This window comes from Homo sapiens, chromosome 2, assembly GCF_000001405.40.
Source record: "Homo sapiens chromosome 2, GRCh38.p14 Primary Assembly".
NCBI lineage: Eukaryota > Metazoa > Chordata > Mammalia > Primates > Hominidae > Homo > Homo sapiens.
The window spans coordinates 37,166,247-37,186,087 of NC_000002.12; the positions used below are offsets into that span (position 1 = coordinate 37,166,247).

Below are 19,841 nucleotides of genomic sequence, written 5' to 3' on the forward strand. Positions count from 1 at the left end.
GAACTCCTGGCCTTAAGTGATTCTCCCTCCTCAGCCTCCCAAAGCACTGAGATTACAGGCATGAGCCACAGCACCTGTCTACATTTTTTTTTTCCTATTAGGCTATATTTTATTTCATCTATTGATATTAGTTGTTCTTTATATACTCTAGATATTAACCTTTTATTTAGCATTTTCTCTCCTTCCTTCCTTCCTTCCTCTCTCTCTTTCCCTCTTTCTCTCTCTTTCTCCCTTCCTCCCTCCCTTCCTTCCTCCCTCCCTCCCTCCCTTCCTTCCTCCCTCCCTCCCTCCCTTCCTTCCTTCCTCTCTCTCTCTCTTTCTTTCTTTCTTTTTTCTCCCCTCCTTCCTTCCTCCCTTTTTTTTTTTGACAAAGTCTTGCTCTGTTGCCCAGGCTGGAGTGCAGTGGCATGATCTCAGCTCACTGCAACCTCTGCCTCCTGAGTTTAAACGATTCTCCTGTCTCAGTCTCCCCAGTAGCTGGGATTACAGGTGCACACCACCACATCCAGCTAGTTTTTGTATTTTTAGTAGAGATGGGATTTCCCCATATTTGCCAGGCTGGTCTTGAACTCCTGATGTCAAGTGATCTGCCCGCCTCAGCCTCCCAAAGTGCTGGGATACAGGCATGAGCCACCTCGCCCAGCCAGGATTCTTTCTTTTTAGAACATTTTCTGTCTTGTTAGTTCCACATGCCTACTTGAGGCTCTGTGGTAGAAAAAGTCTTGATGGGCCGGGCGTCGTGGCTCATGCCTATAATCCCAACACTTTGGGAGGCCAAGGCAAGTGGATCACCTGAGGTCAGGAGGTCAAGACCATCCTGGCCAACATGGGAGAAACCCTGCCTCTACTAAAAATACAAAAATTAGCCAGGCGTGGTGGTGCGTGCCTGTAAACCCAGCTACTCAGGAGGCCGAGGCAGGATAATCACTTGAACCTGGGAGGTGGAGGTTGCAGTGAGCCGAGATTGCGCCACTGCACCCCAGCCTGGGTGACAGAGTGAGACTTTGTCTCAAAAAAAAAGAAAAAGAAAAAGAAAAAGTCTTTACGGTAAAATAACACAATCTCTTACCTTTAGCTTTGAATTAAAGGTCATATTAAGTAGAAATATAAGGTCCCTTGAGAAGGGGCCTTCCTAAGGCCTACTGCAATGGCATACATGGAGCAGATTAGCAATGCATTTTTCTTGAACCAAATTAGAATGGAATTTATTGCAGAGTTGGAATTAACTCTCCCCCAACATTGTCTGAGATAGCCACCCCAAGTGCTTTTATCCATAGTAAGAAAGGAGTTATATTACGAGCAAAGTACAGAAAATTGTGCACCATTTGGAGGCCTGTGTCATCTATGGCCAAACACAGCTTTAGGTATGTCTCTGATAGTATCTCCTTACCCTCTTACGTGAACCTAGAGCACAAAATAAGTTAAAACTCCAGTGTGATGTATTAATAATAGTGTCCCTTTGGGACTGCTGAAATATCCTTTCTTGAAAAAGTGAACAAACTTATATTTGTGCTCAAAAATGTCCGATGTTATCATTATTATTAAATTGTATTATTATTTTGTATTGTATTATTTAGATTTCAATATTGTTTAATTATTATTTGATTATTTGATTGAATTATCATTTAATTATTTACACTTAATTATTATTAAGGAAAATAAATCTAGGCCTGCTGAATTGACTGGAATCAACCCTGGCAATATGATTCATACTTCAACTTTGCTCCGAGGGAGGTGCCTGCTAAGCACTCTTTGAATTTTTCATCCATTTCCTGGTTCTGAATTTCACTGAACAAATTTTTCCAATCACCAACTTCACCTACAACACACAAAAAACAGTAGACCCAGATATCTGTTAGAATATTTCTTCATGATTTTACCATTTTCAGTGCAATATTTCACTCTGATATGTTAAAATGGACACATGGAAAAAAGCTTTACACTCTTTATTTAGTTTTTTTCAGACGGTGTCTCGCTCTGTTGCCCAGGCTGGAGTGCCGTGGTGCGATCTTCAAGCAATTCTCCCTGCCTTAGCCTACCGAGTAGCTGGGATTACCGGCGCCCGCCACCACACCCGGCTAATGTATTTTTAGTAGAGATGGGGTTTCGCAATGCTGGCCAGGCTTGTCTCGAACTCCTGACCTCAGGTGATCCGCCAGCCTCGGCCTCCCAAAGTGCTAGGTACAGGCGTGAGCTACTGCGCCCAGCCAAAAGTTTTACACTCTTAAAACCTAATGTGATTTCTGTTGTAAAATTAACAATATCCATTGGGACTCCACCATCTGTGGTGTGGGAGGTGACATGTTTTCTTTACATCACTAGGGGGAGCCATCAGCCTCAGTGATACCCTAACCCTATTCCTCTCCAAACACCTAGAACTTAAAATTCCACTTTTTGAGAATGATATTTTTCTCTGTAAAGTCTCTTAAAGACTTTAAATACCCTTTGAAAGTTAACATTTTATAGCAAGTTTTCGTTAAGACCTCAGATACTGATAATTTTGCAAAAATGTATTATTTTGCCTGAGTTTGGGATGTTTTTTCTTACTGGCTGTTACCAGTAAAGAAAGTTACTTTTTTCTTAAAGATCTTTTGATCATTTAGGTTGAAGTTGTAAGTTCCATATTGCATAGCTGTTGAAATGTACGTTAATAAAGAGTTTAATGACATGAAGAAACGCTTACAATATATTAAGGGAATAAAAGAAAACACAAAACTGTTTACAAATGTCATCAGCTATATAAAACGTCACAGAATAAGGGTGGAAGAAAATATGCCAGAAAGTTAAACCTACCTCTGGTGGAAGAAATTTGGATAATTTTAATACTTTTTCACATTTTTCTATGCTTTATGAATTTTCTACAGGGAATATCATACGTTTTTAAAACTATTACTTTATTTACCTTAGAATTGTCCTATTCTAAATAACACTTAATTAACAATAGATAGAAAGGTTCTATTTCCTACCTCCTGAAAGCTGATTAAACAAGCCATAAAAATGGGGGTTAGTCAAGAATCTAACCAAAGTTAGGTTTACATTCAATGTTCCGCTTACAGTAGATTTTAAAAATGGATTTTCATTTGAAAAAGTACAGTAGAGTCATGTCTAGGCTCACATCCTGACTCCACTGTTTATTAGCTATGTGACAATGGAAAATTAATATTCCTGAGCTTTGATTCCTACATTTAGAAAATTAAGAACTTCAGTGGGTTTTTTGGTTTGTTTGTTTTTGTTTTCTTGTTTTTGTTTTTGTTTTTGTTTGAGACAGAGTCTGGCTCTGTCACCCAGGCTGGAGTGCAGTGGTGCAATCTTGGCTCACTGCAACCTCCACCTCCCAGGTTCAAGCAGTTCTCTGACTCAGCCTCCCAAGTAGCTGGAATTACAGGCGCCCGCCACCACGTCCAGCCCGAGCTAATTTTTATATTTTTGGTAGAGACAGGGTTTCACCATCTTCGCCAGGCTGGTCTTGAACTCCTGATCTCATGATCCACCTGCCTCGGCCTCCCAAAGTGCTGGGATTACAGGCATGAGCCACCATGTCCGGCCTTAGAACTTCAGTGTTTTTTACAATAAAATTTAATCCCAACAAAATGTTTAATACATGATAGATGCCTGCTGTTAGCTGTTGTTGTCCTTGCTGGTATATGTGCTACCTCTACATCTCATTATTTCATTATATACTCAATGAAAAATAACACTGGCAATCCTTAAGCTATATTATCACACATTTCCACAAGAACTTAGAATACTTTAATGAAATATAGTAACTATCATCCATGTCAGAGAGAGCTAGTTGCCTTTCCCATAGTCATTTTCTTCCTCTTCCTTATGGACAAAACCCTGATTTTAATTGTGTAGTAATATGCCTGGCTTAAAAAAGTCACATTTCCCAGCCACCACTGCAAGGAAAGTGGCCAATGAAATGTAAGAAGTCATTGGCCAGGTGTGGTGGCTCACGCCTGTAATCCCAGCACATTGGGAGGCCGAGAATGGGTGGATCACCTGAGGTCAGGAGTTCAAGACCAGTCTGGCCAACATGGTGAAACCCCATCTCTACTAAAAATACAATAATTATCTGGGTGTGGTAATGGGTACCTGTAATCCCAGCTACTCAGGAGGCTGAGGCAGGAGAATCACTTGAACCTGTGAGGCGGAGGTTGCCGTGAGCCGAGATCGCACTACCACACTCCAGCCTGGGCGACAGAGCAAGACTCTGTCTCAAAAAAAATATATAAAATAAATAAGAGAGAGGAAAAAAAGGAGTCATTGGCCAGGTGCAGTGGCTCACGCCTGTAATCCAGCACTTTGGGAGAGGAGTTTGAGACCAGCCTGGCCAATATGGCAAAACCCTGTCTCTATTAAAAATACAAAAAAATTAGCCAGGCGTGGTGGCGCACACAAGAATCTCTTGAACCCAGGAAGCAGAGGTTGCAGTGAGCCAAGATTGTGCCACTGCATTCCAGCCTGGGCAACACAGCAAGATTCTGTCTCAAAAAAAAAAAAAAAAAAAAAAACTCACTGATGGGGCTTCCAGGAAAGTTATTTAAAGGGGGCTCACTCAGCTAATACGATTCTGCCCCTTGCCCACTCACTATCTCCTATCTGAATTTGAACATAATAGTTGAGCTTCAGCTGCTATCTTGTTTTCAGAAGGTGATCATCAGAAAGGACTCTCAACCGCAGAAAGGACCCTAAAAGATGGTATGGGGCGGCCGGGCGCGGTGGCTCACGCCTGTAATCCCAGCACTTCGGGAGGCCAAGGCGGGCGGATCACAAGTTCAGGAGATCAAGACCATCCTGGCCAACATGGTAAAACCCTGCCTTTACTAAAAATACAAAAAAATTAACTGGGTGTGGTGGCACGCGCCTGTTAGTCCCAGCTACTCGGGAGGCTGAGGCAGGAGAATCGCTTGAACCCAGGAGGCGGAGGTTGCAGTGAGCTGAGATTGAGCCACTGCACTCCAGCCTGGGCAACAGAGCGAGACTCCGTCTCAAAACAAACAAATAAACCAAAAAAGATGGTATGGGGCTGCCAGTTACAGCTCTGGAGAGCCTGTGTCCAGACCTCTTACTGAGGCGGAGAAAAATAAAACCCTATCTGACTTAAGATGAAGTTATTTGGATTACCTGTTGTGTGCAAAGTCAGTCCCTAACTGATAACAATCCCAGAAACCAATGCGACTTTACCTTTGCGGAAAAGGAATGGGCCGACAGCACCGTGTGTGTCCTGAGACTTCGCACGCATGGCTTGGAAGGTGCTCTGGACTGAGATAGTTTGAATTTGCTCCCCAGTTAGAAAGAATCCCAAGAACTCAGCAATCTGTTTTATTCCAGCAGCCAGATTCTGTAAAAAAATTTTCTTAAAGATAAATTTCTTCCTATGGAAATTGTTCTCTGAGCTGAGACAGACTTTTTAGTCATCAGAGTTATTCAGCCTAACTCCCTAGTTCATCTCATCCCCCACTTTAAACTTAGAGTACTTTCATCTTCTTATGTAAATATTGAGATATCTCTGTAAGATATTCTGTATTGATTATACTTTGTAGTTTCAATTTATGACTCTTGTTGAACTTACCAGATAATAGTTTTTAGCATGTAAATAATGACAGTAACATTAATTCACAGGTTATAATTTTATCTAGGATGATATCATTGCATTAAAAAGTACCAACTTAGACCAGCTGAAGAAATTAATGTATTCCTATGTGCTCATTTGAATTCTCTTTTTTTCTGAATTCTATTTATAGCTAATGTTTAATTCCATTAAGAAAGTCTAATTTTTAGAATCATAAAAACTTGAAGAATTTTTTTTTTTTTTTTAGACAGGGTCTTTCTCTGCTGCCCAGACTAGAGTGGTGCAAGGGCACAATCACGGCTCACTGCAGCCTGGACTTCCTGGGCTCCAGCAATCCTCACACCTCAGCCTTCTGAATAGCTGGGACAACAGGTGTGTGCCACCACATCTGGCTAATTCTTGTATTTTTGTAGAGACAGGGTTTCGCCATGTTGCCCAGGCTGCTCTCAGAGTCTTTAATAGACCAGTGCATAATGTGAATCTCCAAGAGAGCAGGCTATAGAATACAGCAGTTCCTAAATCTATTTGAATAACCTCCTCCCAAACCTCAAGAAATATTTATTAACAGCTGGGGCAACACTTGTATTCTATGGTGCACAAGTTTCAGAAACATTATTCTAAACTAGAATTAATATGTTCTTTCATATTATATACATGCATCCTATAAACAGAAAGGGTCGATTAAATCTCACTTTTTTTTTTTGAGACGGAGTTTCTCTCTTGTTGTCCAGGGTGGAGCACAGTGGCATGATCTCGGCTCACTGCAACCTCCACCTCCAGGGTTCCAGCAATTCTCCTGCCTCAGCCTCCTGAGTAGCTGGGATTAGAGGTGTGTGCCACCACGCCTGGCTAATTTTTGTATTTTTAGTAGAAACAGGGTTTCACCATGTTGGCCAGGCTGGTCTCGAACTCCTGACCTCAAGTGATCCACCCGCCTTGGCCTCCCAAAGTGCTAGGATTACAGGCGTGAGCCGCCGTGCCTGGCCTAAACCATACATTTGCTTGTTTGTTTGTTTGTTTGTTTTTGGTTTTTCGTTTGTTTGTTTTTTGAGATGGAGTCTTGCTCTGTGGCCCACGCTGGAGTGCAATGGCACAATATCAGCTCACTGCAACCTCCACCTCCTGGGTTCAAGTGAGTCTCCTGCCTCAGCCTCCTGAGTAGTTGGGATTACAGGCACGCACCACCACACCCAGCTAATTTTTGTATTTTTAGTAGAGACGGGGTTTCACTGTGTTGGTCAGGCTTGTCTCGAACTCCCGACCTCAGGTGATCCACCTGCCTCGGCCTCTCAAAGTGCTGGGATTACAGGCGTGAGCCACCATGCCTGGCCTAAACCACACTTTCTTTTTATAAGAATGTAATGTAAGACTGGTGTTAGAAACCCAATTAAGTTAAGGAGCACTTGATACTCCCTTCTCTTTAACATGCTTTCTCCACAGGATTCTGCTTTCCTTCCTACCTCAGTAGCCCCCGCTTCCTGGTCTCCTTTGCTGATTCCTCCTTTTTTCCCCAAACTCTTTAAATTGGTGGGCTCCAAGTTCTTGGTCATCTTCTCTATCTATATACCTACGTATATATTTCCATGGCTTTAAAGCACGGCTATGTGTCAGTGATGCCCAAATTTTATCTACGGCCCAGAACTCTCTGTACTTACAAGGCCTGTATGCCCAACTGCCTACTTGACTTCTCAATTAGGACGACTAATAAACATCTCAAATTTAATGTGTCCAAAACCAAACCTCTGATCTCCCCGACAGTTCTTCACCTGCTGCCATCTCCTACTCAATCGGTGGCAACTCAGCCCTCAATATTATTGGCCAGGCCAATAATATTGGAGGCTTACTTGACTTCTCTCCTTGTCTTGCCACTCTCCCCTCCATCCAATTCAGCAGCAAATCCTGTTGGCCTTCCCTTCAACATATATCCAGAATCCAACCTCTTCTCATCCCTGCATGGCCCCTTCTTGGCCTGAGCCACCATCTTCCTTTGCCTGGACTATTGCAGTGCCCTCTTTACAGCCCTCCCAGCATTTGCTTTGCCCCAGTTCATTCTCACACCTAGCCAGAATGATCTTGTTAAAAACACATCTGCTCCAATCACTCCTCTGCTCAAATCCCACGATGGCTTCCCACTTCCCTCAAAGTGAAAGCCAGAGTGAGTGGCATACTCCATCCTACCTCCTTGACTCTTTCCTCATTGGCTGTTCAGCCCTGGTTTATTCCTACTGACCCAGGCACATCTGCTGTCCCTTAATCTCACCAGGACTATCCCAGCTTTTGCTCCAGTTGATTCCCTCTGCCAGAAATGCTCTTCCCCAGTTACCTACTTGGCTCACTCCCCCACTTCCCTCAGATCTTTGCTCAAATCACATCCCCTCAGTAAGGTCTCTCCTAATCTTCCTATTCTTTTTTTTTTTTTTTTTTTTTTTTTGATACAGGATCTCACTCTGTCACCCAGGCTGGAGTGTGGTGGCCTAATCATGGTTCACTGCAGCCTCTACCTCTTAGGCTCAAGTGATCCTCCTGTCTCAGCTTCCTGAGTAGCTGGTACTACAGGTACATGCCTAATTTTTAAAAATGTGCCCAGGGTGGTCTCGAACTCCTGGCCTGAAGTGATCCCCCTGCCTCAGCCTCTCAAAGTGTTGGGATTGTAGGCATGAACCACCACACCAGCCTAAACATCATATTTTACACTGGAATTTGTCCAATCCTTCCCCGTGCCTGGCCCCCCAGCATTTTTAATTTTCCTTCACCAGCTATGCTGTTTCTTTTTTTCTCACATACTATATACATTTTAAAAATTATTGTGTTTATTATGTATCATTCTTTCTTTCCACCTTCTCCAACTGGCATGTAAGTTACTACAGGGCAGCGATCTTTGCCTTGTCTGTTCACTGATGTAACACCAGGGCCTAATTGGTGAGCAATCACTCACTAGATATTTGTTACATCAATAAACAATTTTTAAAAAATGACTGGATAAATTAGTTCACAACCAAGTGTATGTTCAATTAAATCAACTCAGACCTACCTATTTTTTTTTATTACCAATTTGAACTATCCATCATAAAGGGAAAATAAAGCAGTCACTTTTAGTAATAAGTTGCTAAGCGTTATTTTATTTCTGTTAAATAAACAACCTAAGCATGTATGCATGGTTTGAATTTTCTTTTCCAGCACTGTACCATATATCTGGAATATTTTTAAAAATTGAACACCATATTTGTTTATACAAACAGACATTATAAGTAAGTGCTCTACGTTGTAGTTTACAATAAATTTTGCTCTAAAATATCAATAATAATCTCACCTCTTTCAGGTCTTCATATAATATGAACTTAACATTGTCGCCATCAAGATGTTTGTTCCAATTGATTGCAAAATCAAAATACCTTCCCCAAGAAACTAAAAACACAGGGGGGAAGACTTTAAGAAATGTCAAATAACTGAGGTTAAAATGATCATTAATTTATGCTATAAAATATAAACTATACATATGTGTATATGCTCGAGATATCTTTATGTTATTATAAATCCCTGCCACCAAAAAGCTGATATAAATCAGTCCCATTGTCTAAATTTCTATTTATTTTCTTACCTTTTGGAACATTTTTCATAAATAACACAAAATTAAGCAAGTTACAAAAATGATTTATAAAAACTATAAGACATTCATGAATATTTAGGTGGATTAAAAAAATTCAGAAATAGTGAATGACACATGAAATCCGACAGAGACAATGCCAGAAAGAAATGATGAAAAAGACATTTTCTAGACCATCGTTGTTCAATAAAAATGTAATGCTAGCCATATACGTAATTTTAAAAAACAAAAGAAACAAATGAAATTAATTTTAATGTTTTACTCCACTTAACCCAGTTTATCAAAAATATTATTCCATCATATAATCAACAAAAATTTGAGTGAAACATTACATTATTTTAATATGCTAAATCTTCAAAAGCCATGGAGTATGAGACATATACTGAAAATCTCAATTTGGATGCTAAATTTTTATTGAAAATACTTGATGTATATTTAGATTTAATAAAACGTACAGTTTAAAAAGTATATTCACATACGCAACTTATTACACTTACTTAAAAGTTTTCCATTAACTGAATTGTATATCCCTTAAAAATTTTGAATTAATTCCATTTTTTTAAAATGAGAAATTTAGTTCCTTGGCACCAGTCCCATTCAAGTCCCATTTCAAGTGCTCCGTTGTCACATATGGTTAGTGGCCTACCACATTGGACAATGCAGATGCAGACACTGGTCAGCTGTGCTGGTTACTAGCTCTGTGACTTTGAGAAACTCTTAAAACTCCTTGTACCTTAGATTCCTCAACTGTAAAATGGGGCGTTATGAGGTTTAAATGAATTAACACACGTCAAATGCTAAAAACAGTGCCTGCTTCATAGTAACACGCAATAGCTTTTTTTTTTTTTTTTTTTTGAGATGGAGTCTCACTCTGTCACCCCGGCTGGAGTGCAGTGGTGCAATCTCAGCTCACTGCAACCTCTGCCTCCCGGTTTCAAGCAATTCTGTCTCAGTCTCCTGAGTAGCTGGGACTACAGGCACACACCACCATGCCTGGCTAATTTTTGTATTTTTGGTAGAGACGAGGTTTCACCATATTGGTCAGGCTGGTCTTGAACTCCTGACTTCAGGTGATCCGCCCGCCTCGGCCACCCAAAGTGCTGGGATTACAGGTGTGAGCCACCCCGCTCGGCCTCAATAGCCATTACTATTATTAATAATATCATAGTTATTATCATGATCATTGTTATCATGAAGCCCTTGCTTTGAGCCAGGCAGTTTCTATGTGTTTTATTTTCTGTCACAAATACCGTAAGTTGCCTACCCAACATCTAATACATCCTCTTTCTTGTTGCTAACCAAACCCTGATTATTTGGGTCTAAGCTGATCATGACAATTCTGTTTCTTGATATCCTGCCTTCCTCAGAGCTGTAATTGGCCACATGAAATGGTTCTGCCCAGTGAGACACAAACAAGAGTCTGCTGGAAGGTTTCTGGCAAAACTATTGCTGTGTGGAGCTAAGGAACACATTCGGCTACTGCTGATGTGTTCCTCCTTTTTCATGACCTAAAGGTGATGATTGGAAGGATAGTAGCCAATTTCAGGGTGTATTGCAAAAAGTATGAGAGAGAGGCCAAGGGAATATCAGAGGTGCAGGCCAGAGATCCCAGGAACCAGCTACCTACCTTCAGACTTCCTGTTAAATGAGAAAAACAAACCTCTCCAAGGATGGATAGGGAAACAGATATTCCCTAAAATGCATTGTCCCACTGATGACAAGTTTCTCATCATCATTTGCAACAACACGGAGGGAGGACATTATGTTAACCAAAATAAGCTAGACACAAAAAGAAAAATACGAAGCCTGGGCAATATAGTGAGGCCCCATCTCTACAAAAAGAAAAAAAATCAGCTGCGCATGGTGGTAAGTGCCTGTGGTCCCAGCTACTTAGGAGGCTGAGGACCACGTGAGCCCAGAAGGTCAAGGCTGCAGTGAGCCTTGCCGCTACACTCCAGCCTAGGTGACAGAGTGAAATCTTGTCTCAAAAAAAAAAAAAAAAAAAAAAGAAAGAAAGAAAAAAAAGAGAAGAATACAGCATGTTTTCACTTATATGTGGAATCTTTACAAAGTCAGATACATAATAGAGAGTAGGATGGTGGTTACAGGGATGGGGAAGGGCAGAAAATAGGGAGACAGAAGTCAAAAGGTACAAACTTGTTATGAAGTTATGAATTATTCAGTTATGAGCATCTTGAGATCTAATGTACAGCATGAGAATGACAGTTAATGATGACAGTTAATGATTTTATACCATATAATATTCGTTAAAAGAATAGATTTTAGGTGCTCTTACTAAACACAAAACAGGTAATTGTGTGACATGATAGATATGTTAATTTGCTTGATTGTATTAATCATTTCATTGTGTATACGGTGAAACATCATTTTGTTGTACACCTTAAATATATACAACAAAAATAAATACATTTTTTAAAAAGTAGCCCTCTTAGAGTGAACTGACAACAGCTTCTCCTCCAGGGTCATTGGGCTTTAATATCCCATCTATTACACCGTACAGACTCAAAAGAGCCACTAAAAAAAGGAATCAGTTACTGGTCTCTGGCCACTATACTCATGGATGTAGAGTCACTGCCACTTACAAGCAATGGCAAGTGATTTAACTTTTTTTTTGAGACGGAGTTTCTCACTCTTGTTGCCCAGGCTGGAGTGCAATGGTGCCATATCTGCTCACTGCAACCTCTGCCTCCTGGATTCAAACAATTCTCCTGCATCAGCCTCCCAAGTAGCTGAGATTACAGGCATGAGACACCATGCCTGGCTAATTTTGTATTTTTATTTCTTTATTTTTTATTTTATTTTATTTTTTGAGTTGGAGTTTTGCTCTGTCACCCAGGCTGGAGTGCAGTTGATCAATCTCGGCTCACTGCAACTTCCGCCTCCTGTTCATGCAAGTCTTCTGCCTCAGCCTACTAAGTAGCTGGGATTACAGGCATGCAACACCACACCTGGCTAATTTTTGTGTTTTTAGCAGAGACGGGGTTTTGCCATGTTGGCCAGACTGGTCTCAAACTCCTAACCTCGAGTCATCCGCCCGCCTCGGCCTCCCAAAGTGCTGGAACTACAGGCATGAGCTACTGTGCCTGTCTGATTTATATTTTGATTAGTTTCCTCATCTGTACAATGGGGCTAATACCACCTTACTCATAGTTTGTTATAAATCTTAAATTAAAATAATGCATAGACGACCCCTACTTTAGCACCTGGAGCATTAATAGACACTTAGAGTTATCAATAAACCAGAGACAAAATATCAACATGTTTAACAAAAACTTATTTCTGACAAAAACTTATTTTCTTTCTAGCAAACAAATGTCTTAGGTATAGTAGCTCAGTGTCATGGTTTTTTAAAAAATATTTTTTGTTTTTATCAGTGTTACATAGTGACAAGGAAGTTCACTAGAAATGGTTTTCTACATCACTCACTGTTAAAGCTCTCTTTGTCCCATGTCTTTTCTATGGCCACTCTGTACTCATAGTCAACATACGACTTGTCCAAATTAGTTTTTTGTTTGTTTGTTTGTTTGTTTTTTTGAGACAGAGTCTCGCTTTGCCAAGCTGGAGTGCAGTGGCGCCATCTCAGCTCACTGCAATCCCTGCCTTCTGGGTATAAGCAATTTTCCTGCTTCAGCTTCCCGAGTAGCTGGGACTACAGGTGCGTGCCACCACGCCAGGCTAATTTTTTGTATTTTTAGTAGAGATGGGGTTTCACCGTGTTAGCCAGGACAGTCTTGATCTCCTGACCTTGTGATCTGCCCGCCTCGGCCTCCCAAAGTGCTGGGATTACAGGCGTGAGCCACCACACCTGGCCCCAAATTCGTTTTTAAAACAGCAATGCATTTAATTGTTGGATGCACAGAACTAATGGTGCTATGACCGTTCATTTAAATGAAACTTTTTGGTTCCCAGATCTACCTAAATCTTCTTCCTTTACCCTAAAACACATTTGGGTTTTCACATTTATGTGGTCATCTGATCAAGTAAGAATAATTCTTTTACCAACAGCCATACCTTGTCCTTTCATGAACTGTCTGAAGAATTCATCCCAAGAGCCATAGCTTGGAATATCGGGGACATCGTTGTGGAAATGCAAAAAAGATACTGCTGTATCTTTAGGGTTTCGAAATATCACCAATATCTAGGGAGCAAAAATTGAGTTAATTTATTTGGGTCTATGTTTTGAAATTTGGAAAATTAAAAGGGTGAGCAATATCATCATGTCCACTCGTATATTACATAATTGTGTTAATATATAGAGAAAGAATGACAGTAGGAAACTGAGGAACAGGAGGTGGCTGATGGGGAAATCTGGGGAAAGGAGAGAAAGAAGAAGAAAAAGATTGATATTGTTGCAAAGGATTCTTGCAAATGAATTTAGGCAATAAGATGCACAGAAGATGTAAAAAGGAAAAAAAGACCAAGCTCACTAGGATAATCACAAGAGTATGACCTGAAAGCTTAAATCCTCAAATAAAAATTGCAAATAATGTTAAGGACGACAAAAATAATGTTTTAGAGTTGGTAGGAGAAGATTAAAGAATGGCAAAGCCCACTCTCTGGGTATGATGTTTATGGGTGAGTACATGACACAGAACGTCTGAATTCCTATATCTGCCTTCTTTGATGAGGAAAGTGTTCCTTTGGATGAGTAGCATGAAATAAACATCGTAAAGAACAAACTGAAACCCCAGAGAACCAAAAGATTGCAGAGGATCACACGTCTGCTCTGAGTTCAGCCTTCTGGCCTGAAGCCTTCTATTTCAAGAACTGAGGAAACTGGAGGACACATGATCCAGCATGTTCCTGAATTCCGAGGAATCTGAAAACATGTGAGGCCAGACAACTAGAACAGGCAGAAGTCATTTCATTTTCAGAAAGGGGAAAGATGTGGATTTTGCAAAGTGCAGATTTGTGATATTCACTTTCATTTGGGAGAAGTCTAGAATTGACTAAAAACAAGATTTGGGGCCACATAAAAGAGGAAACTGTAACCAACAGGGGGCAACATGGACCCTCTAAGAACAAGTCAGCTAACACCTGGATTTTTTCAACATGGTTTTAGATTAGTAGGTGGAGTAGCTTATGATTTCTCCTACAGAAAAAGTAAGAATGTAAGGCAGAATCAGGAGCAGTTAGGCATATGAAACTGACTGGGGGCTGGGCATGGTGGCTTATGCCTGTTATCCCAGCACTTTGTGAGGCTGAGGCGGCTGGATCACTTGAGATCAGGAGTTCGAGACCAGCCTGGCCAACATGGGGAAACCCTGGTGCTACTAAAAATACAAAAATTAGCCAGGCGCAGTGTTGTGCACCTGTAGTCTCAGCTACTCGGGAGGCTGAGGCAGGAGAATTGGTTGAACCTAGGAGACGGAGGTTGTCATGAGCCAAGATTGTGCCATTTCACTGCATCCTGGGCAGCAGAGCAAGACTCCATCTCAACAATAACAACAATAACAAAACTGACTGGGTATAAATAGTTAATTAACTAATGTAAACCTGCTGGGAGGTTTTTAATAAGCCCTTCCACTCTCTTGGCTGGGTAATAGTTAATGTTTTAATGAATCATTTAGGTAAAGATATAGAAGCTATATTTACCAAATTTGTAAATAACATGAAAGTGGGAGGGAATCAGGATCTCAAAATACCTTGTCTGCCTAAAGAATTTAACTAACACCAACAGGATAAAATTGAGTAGAGATCAATGGGTCTGGGTCTTGTCTTGTACTTAGATCTAACACTCTTCCCTCCCCCTAGTCCAAATATAGTAGATTCTTGCCATTTGAGGGCTTTATATTTGAGGCTTTAACTACCACTCAGTTGCCCTGGCTTGTAGCAATCTGTAAGTTTACAAAGACATAAATTTGAATTTGAGGGCTAATTGGCTGGAGTATGAACAAATTCCCCACGTCAACGTCTTACCTCCCTGCTGTTGCTCTTGTTTTTTGTTGTTTTTCAGACCGGGTCTGACTCTGTTACCCAGGCTAGAGTGCAGTGGCGCGATCTCACTCACTGCAACCTCTGCCTCCTGGGCTCAAGCAATCCTCCATCTCAGCCTCCCAAGTAGCTGGGACCACAGCGGTGCACCACCATGCCCGGCTAATTTTTGTATTTTTTGTAGAGACAGGGGTCTCACTATGTTGCCAAGGCTGGTCTTGAACTCCTGGGCTCAAGCGATCCCTCCTGCTTCGGCCTCCCAAAGTGCTGGGATTACAGATGTGAGCCACTGCATCCAGCCCCTGTTGCTCTTTTCTTGCCCTTATATTCTTACAAATGTGAAACTCTGTTCAAAAGCCTGCGTGCCCCAAGTCCAACGCTTTATAAATTACTTCAGCTCTGTTTATTATAGAGACACTAAGGAAAAATGTGTTAACTGCATTCAATGGGGGAAATTACGTGTTAAAATGGTATTTCAGACTTTACACATTCGCGATATAAGGAAAAACTGTTTAACAGAGCTATTCAAAGCTGGCTTAGGGGATACTGGAGATCTTTATCATTGGAGGTGCTGAATCATGGTCCAGCTGCTTAGTGGAATTCAAACACTCAATGGGAATTAGCATAGATGACCTTTAAGATATTTTCCCATTTTAAGCTACTAGGATTCTTGTATCACAGCCACAAAGCTGCTCATTCTAAACCTCCACTTCCCTAAGGTTTGCTTTCCTACTCTTCCTTTCTTATTTTGCTTCCCCTCCTGCCTCTTACCATTGAAATTGTAGTCATCTTAACAGTTTTCCTGTTGTGCCTTTCTTTGCTCTTACCTCACTATTCTCCCATTCTTCTTGCTAGCATTCGGCAGAAGTTAAATTTTTTTTTTTTTTTTTTGAGACAAGGTCTCGCTCTGCCGCCCAGGCTGGAGAGCAGTGGCGAGATTTTGGCTCACTGCAACGTCCGCCTCTCAGATTCAAGCGATTCTGCTGCCTCAGGCTCCCAAGTAGCTGAGATTACAGGCACGTGCTATCACACCTGGCTATTTTTAGTAGGTTGGTGCAAAAATTGGGGGTTTTGCCATTAAAAGTAATTCAAAAAACGCAATTACTTTTGCACCAACCTAATATTTTTTGTAGAGATGTGGTTTCACCATGTTGGCCAGGCTGGTCTCGAACTACTGACTTCAAGTGATCTGCCCACCTCGGCCTCTCAAAGTGCTGGGATTACAAGTGTGAGTCACCGCACCCTGCAGGGAGTTTAAATAAATCTTGATTGTAACTAATTCAAATCATTTTCTTCTGAGACAGAAAAAAGGCACCAAGAAATAAGGAACAGAGGGGAGACCAGGAGAGAGGAAACAGAAAGGGTTGGGTAAAAACTAGTAATTACAAGAAATATATCAATACTGATTAATAAAACAACATTTTTAAACAAATGATAAGAACAGCCAAAGCACATATAGTTCTGTATGCATGCTGTGAAGTTTGTTACTACATGTGAAATTCAAAAATAAAATAGTTTCAGCGAGGCATGGTGTCCCATGCCTGTAATCTCACCACTTTGGGAGGCCTTGGTGGCAGAAGGATCTCTTGAAGTCAGGAGTTCGAGACCAGCCTGGGCAACATAGTGAGATGCTGTCTCTATAAAAATTTTAAATATATTTGAAAAAATAGTTTTAGGCCTCAGGTAAATAGTGCTCACCAGAAAGAAAGGAACAATTTTTTTCTCATTTTACTAAATTGTATTTTTTGTGTGTGCATGAAACACTCTAAATATTCTATCAGGATTCAGAAAATTATTCACTGTAAAACAGATTATAAAATACATTTTATTCTATGCATATGTTTTATTTCCTTGTTGAAAATGCATTTGACTTGAGTGCAACTATAGCAAATATATGTCAAGAAAGAAACAAAAACAAAAAAACTAAATGTCACAGTTCATTTATTAAGCTTCTATGAGAAGGAACAAACTCATGATCTACTTCCAAAAACTAATATCTATACATAGAAATTTCAAAGAATTATCAGTAGGAAAGGACACTCACCTTGGCTTTATTCTCGAAGATAGACCCAGGTAATTTGTCATAGTGGAGGTGAGTTGCCAAAATCCTTGGTGATGGAAAGCCTTTCATTCTCTTAAAAATATACACAAAAAGGTGAAAATGTGCACGTGTGTGCATGTGTGTGTGTGTGTTGAATCACTCCTAGGTTTGGTATCTAAGTGATAGTTTCTAGCACTACTGTCACTATATCTTCTCCTCCTCCTCCAATTTTTCTTTTTTGAAACAGAGTCTCACTCTGTCGCCCAGGCTGTAGTGTTGTGGCGCGATCTCAGCTCACCGCAACCTCTGCCTCCCGGGTTCAAGCAATTCTCCTTTCTCAGCCTCCCGAGTAGCTGGGTTTACAGGTATCTACCACCATGCCCAGTTAATTTTTGTATTTTTAGTAGAGACAGGGTTTCACCATGTTGGCCTGGCTGGTCTGAAACTCCTGACCTCAGGTAATCTGCTCGCCTCAGCCTCCCAAAGTGCTGCGATTACAGGCGTGAGCCACTGCACCCGGCCAATTTTTCTTTATTTCTGTTTTCTTACTTTGTGGAGATGAGGAATGAAGAATCATAAATAAACCAATAATTAAAATATTCTTGAATTTCTTTTTTGTACCCTGCTTACCATTTCCCAATCATTTTTGTAATTTTTTAAAAAATTACCTTTTCCCACAATCATATCAAATCCATTTTGTTCAAGAGAACTCATAATCTGAAATACACACTTTCACTTAATTTGATTCTCTTCTGTATTCAAGGTCTTTAACAGAAATAGTCAAGTCTTTCCACAGTTCCTGCGAATCCATTTTTAACATCTAAATCTTTCTGTTTAACCAGCTAAAACTCTAGGCAATAAAATATCTCAATGGAACCTGAAAGTACAGAGTTACTTAAATGTCCGAGAAATGTTTTATGAGAGAAATTCTTGTCAGTATATGGACAAAGGTGATTGATTCTTTTTCTGTAATCTATTTCTATAGATAATTTTGAAGATAAAATTATCTATTTAATCTGCCAGGATTAAGGGTTTTCACTTACAATCAGACCATTAGTATATGTTATGCAGGGAAGTAAGGCTTCAAGTTTTTAGTCCCACATCTGTAGCGGTCACTTACTGCTTGGTTGCAGCTACAATATAATGTAAGTGATAAAAGGATATTCAGATGTTTGTAGCCAATTGTTCTGTAAAAACTTAGTGGAGGCTGGGCATCCTGCCCAATATGGGGAAACCCCATCTCTACTAAAAATACAAAAAATTAGCTGGGCGTGGTGGTGCACACCTGTAGTCCCAGCTACTCAGGAGGCTGAGGCAGGAGAATCACTTGAACCCGGGAGGCGGATGTTGCGGTGAGCTGAGATCGCGCCACTGCACTCCAGCCTGAGCGACAGAGTGAGACTCCATTTAAAAAAAAAAAAACAACAAAACTTAGTGGAGATCTCAACTCAAGCAAGGGGGCAAAAAATGAAATTTTAAAAATAAAACGCACTTTAAATCAATGATATGGATCCAAGCGGTGACTAGCAGTGTAAAATCTGATTTACAACAAATGGTACCTTTAAACATTTGAAGCATTTTCATGCTCATTCACAACAATCCTCTTAGGTAGATATCGTAACCCCCATTTTAGAGATTAAGAACAGGCTTTGAGGTTTTAAGCACTTTGTGCAAAATTGCACAGGTGGTTATTTTCAGATTAAGTTATAGACTGTGGTTTCCATGAAACTGCATGGCCAAAAATCATGTACAGACACATGAGAAATGGTAAGGTTACTAAAAGGATTAGAAAAGCACCCAAGGGAAAAATGGAAGTCAACTGTAACTAAATTAGATAGCTACATAATATATAATACTATGTTCACTAAAATATGTAATATAGCCCAAATGTGAGCAAAGACTAGATACCTTATTTAAGGAAAAATATGTACTCCAGAAAAGTTCTCTGTAAAGCAAATAATTGTTAAGTGAAGTTCATTTCACTGATTTCCATTTAAAATTAAAGGGCATATTGGCCAGGCGTGGTGGCTCATGCCTGTAATCCCAGCACTTTGGGAGGCAGAGGAGGGTGGATCACTTGAGGTCAGGAGTTTGAGAGTAGCCTGTCCAACATGACGAAACCCCGTCTCTACTAAAAATACAAAACATTAGCTAGGCATGATGGCGCACACCTATAATCCCAGCTACTCGAGAGGCTGAGGCAGGAGAATTGCTTGAACCCAGGAGGTGAAGGGTGCAGTGAGCCGAGATCGCACCACTGCACTCCAGCCTGGGTGACAGAGTGAGACTCCATTTCAAAAAAAAAAAAAAAAAAAACAGAGAGAGAGAAATTGAAATCTGGATAAATGTTGGCATCATTTCTAAAGGTGATGTTAAGCACTCTCTTTAGAAAAAGGTTATGCAAAGGCCTGGACAGGAGAAGTCTATGGGGCTTTTCCTTTATTTCCTACCTAGGTCAAAGCTTCTTACTGCCCCTGTTGGTCCATCCTACGTTCCTGGGCCTGTCTCAGCTGAGCCTTCATCAGGTTGGCTTTGGTACAGGTGACCCTCCCTGCTCCTTTGTTGCCAACCAAATCCAGGGCTCGGCACTTACCTCCAAAACACCCTCCTCTGAGTCCCTTTACCATGTGTTTTTCTGCTACTTTGACCTAATCCATGGAAATGGG

The 19,841-nt window shown here is 40.6% G+C and overlaps 1 protein-coding gene across 2 annotated transcripts in view; it reads right to left on the reverse strand.

Annotated features, from left to right (window-relative positions):
• Nucleotides 1-1,573: 1,573 nt before the first annotated feature.
• Nucleotides 1,574-19,841, reverse strand: part of SULT6B1 (sulfotransferase family 6B member 1) — a 28,268-nt gene continuing 10,000 nt past the window's right edge. For both annotated transcript variants that reach the window (NM_001032377.2, NM_001367551.1), the window contains 5 exons: nt 17,179-17,268; nt 13,212-13,338; nt 8,886-8,980; nt 5,188-5,344; nt 1,574-1,819 (listed from right to left, as the gene is read on the reverse strand). In NM_001032377.2, the coding sequence (NP_001027549.1) occupies nt 1,689-1,819; nt 5,188-5,344; nt 8,886-8,980; nt 13,212-13,338; nt 17,179-17,268 (600 nt within the window). In that variant the 3' untranslated portion in view covers nt 1,574-1,688. The remainder of the gene's footprint in view (nt 1,820-5,187; nt 5,345-8,885; nt 8,981-13,211; nt 13,339-17,178; nt 17,269-19,841) is intronic.